Raw genomic sequence first — 6,941 nt, 5'->3', positions numbered from 1 at the left:
TATGTAATCATAATGTAAGAATTACTTGAAGAAAATTTGGGTGCAAACCTCATATTAAGAGGCACATTTGCCTCACTCTTCCTCCCAGGGACAATGATGACAGCCTTTTCGTGCAGCTCCTACCAGTGTTCCTTTGAGGGGTGTGTGACTGCCAGTATGACTGCCCAGGAATTTGGAGGGTGAGGCCAGGAAACTCCAGGAGAGACGGTGGCCTGTGTGGCGTTATCACGGGGAGGTGCAGGTTGGCACCTAAACTTGATCATGCTACTCTCCTGCCTGAACACTCTGTGGCTCCCACTGCTCTTAGGATGAGACTCCAGCTCCTTGTTCCTCCAGCTGCCTCCTCACCCTGCCTTGCGCCATTCCCCTGCCTTGCTCTTTGGCCCTCAGGCCTACAGCTTCTTTGCTGGTCCCTGGGTGCCCCAAGATCTTCTCCTCTTGTTCCCAGTACCCAGGATACTTGTTACCTGCTACTTCCTCCTGGCTGGGCCCCCTGGCCCCACGAGGACAGCTTTTTCTGGATGACCTGGCTAAGTGAAGGCTGGATCCTTCATTCCTCTCTGCAGCCCCTTTTGTTTCAGAGCACACGTCACAGCCGCCATCATTGATGTGCCTATCTGGCTACTTGTGTATGATTTTTTCCTGCCCCTAGCATGTATGCCCTGTGTGTGCAAGCACTGTCTGGCGAACCACTGTACACCCAGTGTCTGGCACATAGCAGGTGACCCATACATATTTGCGTATTAAGGGGAAAGATGGCAATAACTAGAGGACGTGGGGACATTTGACTCATGCGTTTATCTTTTTTTTTTTTTTTTGAGACAAGATCTCACTCTGTTACCCAGGCTGGAGGGCAGTGGCACGATCTCAGCTCACTGTAGCCTCAACCTCCTGGGCTACGGCGATCCTCCTGCCTCAGCCTCCTGTGTAGCTGGGACCATACCCGCATGCCACCGCAGCTGGCTAATTTTAAAACTTTTTTTGTAGACACAAGGTCTCACTTTGTTGTCCAGGCTGGTCTGGAACTCCTAGGCTCAAGCCGCAGCCTCCCAAAGTACTGGGACTACAGGCGTGAGCCACCACATGCAGCCATGTATCTTTTAAAAATATTTATTATTTATTTTTTAATTTTTCATGCCCCTTGCTGCAGAGTTGTGTATATGTATCTGCGTTTATGGACATATTTCTTCTAAAACATATTGAAGTATAATATGTATCTAGAAAAGTGCACCAATTCTGAGTGTGTAGCTGGGTGAATTGTCAATGGTTACAGACCCATGTATCCAGCACCCAGATCTGGATACAATGTTATCAGCACCTCAAAAACTGCCTCCTGGCATGGTGGCTCATGCCTGTAGTCCCAGTACTTTGGGAGGTCGAGGAGTGGGGATTGCTTGAGCCCAGGAGTTCGAGACCAGCCTGGGCAACCAAGTGAGACCCTTGTCTCTACAAAAAAATACCAAAAAAAACTAGCCAGGGGTGGTGGCGCACACCTGTAGTCCCAGCTACTCGGGAGGCTGAGGTGGGAAGTTCACTTGAGCCTGGGAGATGGAGGCTGCAGTGAGCTAAGATCACGCCACTGAACTCCAGCCTGGGTGACAGAGTGAGACCCTGTCTCTGAAACCAAAACCAACACCAAAACCGAACAATCCAAAACAAACAAAAAACCTCCTCCACGCCCCTTCTAGTCTCTGCTCCTCCCTGCAATAATCATAGCCTCTGTGCCATAGATGAAATAAATGCTGGCAGGATTGGAAACCGGCTCAGCCATTTTGAAAACCACTTGGCAGTATCTACTAAGCTGAACCTGAGCCCCGCAGTGACCCGGCCATCCTGCTCCGAAGGATGTTTGCAGAGGGCGGAAATGCACACAGCTGCTCACCGCAGGTGCAGAGACACCCACTGGGGTGTTCCTGACCGTTTCAGACTAGAAGTCCACCCGTACGCCCATCACAGTGGGTGGAGAGGTGCACTTGGGAGAGCCACACAATGGAATACTTCACAATAACAAGAACGCAGGTGCCACAGACAAAGGCAGCAGCGACGATGACTCTCTCAGTGTTGAGTGGAAAACATCAGACAGAAAAGATGACCCATTCCAAGATGACATTTATATGTGAAACCAGAACAGACAAAACAACCCAACAGGGCTATGTGTGGGAGGATATTTATTTTGCTTCTTTTCACTTTCCTTGTCTTCCCTTCTCTTTCTCCCTCTCTTCTCTCCCTCCTTCCTTTTCTTCCTTCCTTCCAAATTTGGGATCCCTATCCCTCTCTGTAAACACACACACACAGCTTCTTCTCTACATCAAGAAATAATAGGCTGGGCGCAGTGGCTCACGCCTGTAATCTCAGCACTTTGGGAGGCCGAGGCAGGGGGATCACAAGGTCAAGAGATCGAGACCATCCTGGCCAACATGGTGAAACCCCGTCTCTACTAAAAATACAAAAATTAGCTGGGCGTGGTGGTGTGCACCTGTGGACCCAGCTACTCGGGAGGCTGAGGCAGGACAATTGCTTGAACCTGGGAGGTGGAGGTTGCCAGGAGCCAAGATCACACCACTGCACTCCAGCCTGGTGACAGAGCAAGACTCTGTCTCAATAAAACAACAACAACAACAAAAAACCCTTTAAAATAATGGCCACCACGGATGCATGAAGGCTTGTAAGCATTTTATATGCTGATGCTTTGGAAAGTCCATGACCTTTTTCAGAAATCATCATGAGTTCAAGGTCGACATCAGGTACAGGGGCTCTGAGGCATTTGCTTAGCTGGAATGAGGGGGTGCTCGTGGCCGTGGTCACATGACAGGTGGTGTGTGCTGCACTGGTCAGGGGGTGTGCTCAGGGGAGAGGGGTATGGGACACCATCTACAGTGGCTGTTCAGCAAAAGGAAAGGTTGAGGACTGACCATTTAACCTGCTTGACTGTGTCTTTTTAAGGGCTGCAGACATTCCGTTATCTGGGTTGTTAACGGCTTTACGGAGCCAAATCTCTGCCACCAGTGTGAATAAACATCTGGGTGCCAGAGCCAAGCTGCACAGGTTCAGATCTGGGCTCTGCCAGGCACTGGTGATTCATCAGAGACAACTTATTTATCTCTCTCTCTCTCTTTTTTTTTTTTATGAGACGGAATCTTGTTCTTGTTGCCCAGGCTGAAGTGCAGTAGCGCAATCTCAGCTCACTGCAACCTCCACCTCCCAGGTTCGAGCGAGTCTCCTGTCTCAGCCTCCCGTGTAGCTGGGATTACAGGTGCATGCCACCACACCTGGCTAATTTTTGTATTTTTAGTAGAGACGGGGTTTCGCCATGTTGGCCAGGCTGGTCTCGAACTCCTGACCTCAGGTGATCCACCCGCCTCGGCCTCCCAAAGTTCTGGGATTACAGCCATGAGCCACTGTGCCCAGCAACTTATTTACTTCTTGGGGCCTCCGTTTCCTTATCTGTAAAATAAGTTTGAAAACTGCGCTGACCACATACAGTTGCTGTAAGAATTAAATGAGTTATTTATTTATTTTTATTTATTTTTTTGTTGAGATGGAGTCTCGCTCTGTCACCCAGGCTGGAGTGCAATGGTGCGATCTCGGCTCACTGCAAGCTCTGCCTCCTTGGTTCACGCCATTCTCCTGCCTCAGCCTCCCGAGTAGCTGGGACTACAGGAGCCTGCCACCACGCCCGGCTAATTTTTTTGTATTTTTAGTAGAGACGGGGTTTCACCATGTTAGCCAGGGTGGTCTTGATCTCCTGACCTCGTGATCTGCCCGCCTTGGCCTCCCAAAGTGCTGGGATTATAGGCGTGAGCCACCACAGTCGGCCATGAGTTATTATTTGTAAAGCTCTTGGTTAAGTGCCTGCATGGAACACAGTAAGCATTTAACAATGTTTTTCTACTTTTGCTCAGTTGTTTTAAAATGTCCCCCATCGTATTAGTCAGCTTTGGCTGTAATAATGCTGCATAACAAACATTCCCTGTCTCTCAGTGGCTTCCAATGACAAGCACTGTGCTCGATTTTGGGCTGTGATTGGGTTTAGGCCTGTTCCACCTGTTTCTGCCCCCCTCTCCCCAAAACCCAGGAAGAAGGAGTGGTGTCAGCTCAGACATCTCTTCTGATGGTGGGGGGCAGGAAAGCCAGAGGGGGAGTGGAACCCTGGCATGCCTCAAAGAGCCATGCCGTCCCTTCTGCCCACATCCCAGCGTTCCAAGCAGGTCTCATGACCCAGCCTTGAGGCAAGGAAGCTCTGAAAGCGACACTACCCACAGGGACTGTGGCAGGGCTGAGGGCAGGGAAGGAAGATTGTGGAAAGAAAATGGAGTTTCCACCCACTCCATGCAACCCTGGTGATGCACCCTCAGAGGGAGGGAGATGTTTGTGGCCTCATCTGATGAAATTCATGGCAAGGTAATGCCTGATGAATGATCTGAGCATTTTCTCATTGCTTCATAAAATGTTACCAAGTTGTCCTCCAGAAAGGATGACCAAGTTATCTTTCTACCAGCGGCATGCGAGACTGACCTCCAGCACCTGGCCAATACGATCAAGCATTTTTTTTCACCTTTGCTCAGTCGAAGGTAAAAACAAGTATTATGATGGTTGTTATGACAGCATAACGTTGTATTATCAGCTTGGATTTTTATGGCATGTGAAGTCAGAATGACCTCAGCTAAGTGTGATCCTAGCTTCCTGTAGCCTCTCACCCTCCATATTGTGCTGCAAGCAGATGAGCCTTCCTGTTTAACTCAGGCCTTGGCTGTATGATCCGTTCAGGCCAATGGAACATGCTGGGCCAAGGAGAGCTTTAAATGTGCTCTGGTGGTTTGCTTTACCCCAACCCCAGCCTTGGGACCAGGGGCACGAGGCAACATTCTGGGGTGACGGAAATATTCTGTATCTTAACGGGGGTTTGGCTTAATCAGGTGAATTTATTTATGGAAGTGAATTGTACTTAAGATCTGGGCCTTTTACTATATATAAATTATACCTCAATAATAAAATAAAATGGGCATAAAAAGCTTGCCAGGTGAAGGGAAGGAAAGGTTTCCAGCCAGTAAAGATCAGAGGCAGAGGCATGGAGGCCTCAGGGGGAGTAGTGTGCTTGGCGGAAATGGAATTATCTTGTTGGGCCAGATTATTAAGGAATTTGCTGTGGACCGAATGTTTGTTGTCACCTCCAAATCCACATGTAGAAACCTAAATCCCTAATGCAATGGTATTTGGAGATGGGGCTTTTGGGAGGTAATTAGGTCACAAGAGTGGGGCATTCATGGTGGGATTAGTGCCCTTATGAAAGAAACCCAGGGAGTTAGCGTGTGTGTCATCTCTCTCTTTCTCTCTCTCCTCTGCTGTGTGAGGACACAGGATCTTCCAACACCTTGATCTTGGACTTCCAGGCTCTTGGACTTCCAGAACTGAGAGAGAGAATTCTGTTGTTTCAGCCCCGTCTAATGCATTCTGTTCCAGCAGCCTACCCACACTGAGGAAGACAGAATTTGATTTAAGGGCAATCTAGTTCCAGCTTCCCATTTTACAGATAAGTAAAAAGGCCAGAAGGAGTGATCACTAGTCCACATCTGTGCAATTTGCCAGTGGCAGAGCTACAACTCCAATTTAGGGTGTTCTTCCACCCCTGACGTGTGTGTGTGTGTGTGTGTGTGTGTGTGTGTGTGTGTGTGTGTGTGTGAGAGATTGCGGGGGTTTGGCGAGAACAGTGATTCCATTGGGGTCATAGTTGTTGAAGGAAAACAGCAATTCACCCTGATCTGTGTTCATGCCCCCGAAATGGGCCAGCTGTATTAAAATAACTCTTAAAAAAACAAATGCAATTTCACCCCAGTCTACCACTCCAAGAAGCCAACCCTGGCTGTTTGCCTCTAACCGCTCTCTGCCCTCCGCCATGTGGGTAACAATTTGGCACAATGTTTCTGCACCAGGGACTGAGCTAAGCTCTCTACCTAACTTGCTCTTGCCATCCTCCTGGCAAGCTGCATGGCGTTATTGCCCTCCCCATTGTAGGAGGAGGAACCTGCAGCTCAGGGGAGTGAGGCTCTTTGCCTGCAATTATATGACAGTAGGTGGCTACTGGGCATCACAGGCAGGTTGAAGTGCTGTTAGGATTTGGACCCTGGTTCTTACAGCCTTGGCAGTTGCTTCTGCTGCTGCCTGGAAAACTGAACTCCCACATACTTACGTGGCTGGTACCTGCTCCTCGTCCAGGTCTCAAATCAAAGGTCAACGCCTTCAAGAAGGCTTCCTTAACCCATTCCATCTCAGCCTTCAGCATGTTCCATCTTTCCAGTACATTCCATCTTTTATTGTCTTCAGAACACTTGTTTTATTAACTTATCTTGTTTACTTATGTGTTTATTATCCCTATTAGAATGTAAGTCAAGGCTGGGGGCAGTGGCTCACGCCTGTAATCCCAGCACTTTGGGAGGCTGAGGCAGGCGGATCACCTGGGGTCAGAAGTTCAAGACCAGCCTGGCCAACATGGTGAAACCCCATCTCTACTAAAAATACAAAAATCAGCCAGGTGTGGTGGTGGGTGCCTGTAATCCCAGCTACTCGGGAGGCTGAGGCAGGAGAATCACTTGAACCTGGAGACAGAAGTTGCACTGAGATTGCACCACTACACTCCCAGCCTGTGTGACAGAGCAAGACTCTGTCTCAAAAAAGAAAAAATAATGTAAGTCAAGAAACAAGGAGCCTCAGCCGGGTGCAGTGGCTGACGGCTGTAATCCCAGCACTCTGGGAGGCTGAGGTGGACGGATGACCTGAGGTCAGGAGTTCGAGACCAGCCTGACCAACATGGAGAAAACTGTCTCTACTAAAAATACAAAAGTATCCAGGCATGGTGGCGCATGCCTGTAAACCAAGCTACTTGGGAGGCTGAGGCAGGAGAATCGCTTGAACCCAGGAGGTGGAGGTTGCGGTGAGCAGAGATA

At 49.1% G+C, this 6,941-nt stretch overlaps 1 annotated feature.

Moving 5' to 3' along the window:
- Positions 6,499-6,658: a silencer, noted in NCBI's record as "fragment chr22:44923943-44924102 (GRCh37/hg19 assembly coordinates)". NCBI's record gives its function as "represses an EF-1alpha promoter that drives an FKBP-Casp9 reporter gene in an ReSE screen in K562 erythroleukemia cells {active_cell/tissue: K562}" and the evidence as "EXISTENCE:reporter gene assay evidence [ECO:0000049][PMID:32094911]".

Source organism: Homo sapiens, chromosome 22 (genome assembly GCF_000001405.40).
Source record: "Homo sapiens chromosome 22, GRCh38.p14 Primary Assembly".
NCBI lineage: Eukaryota > Metazoa > Chordata > Mammalia > Primates > Hominidae > Homo > Homo sapiens.
This window is presented reverse-complemented; position numbering and strand designations above follow the sequence as displayed.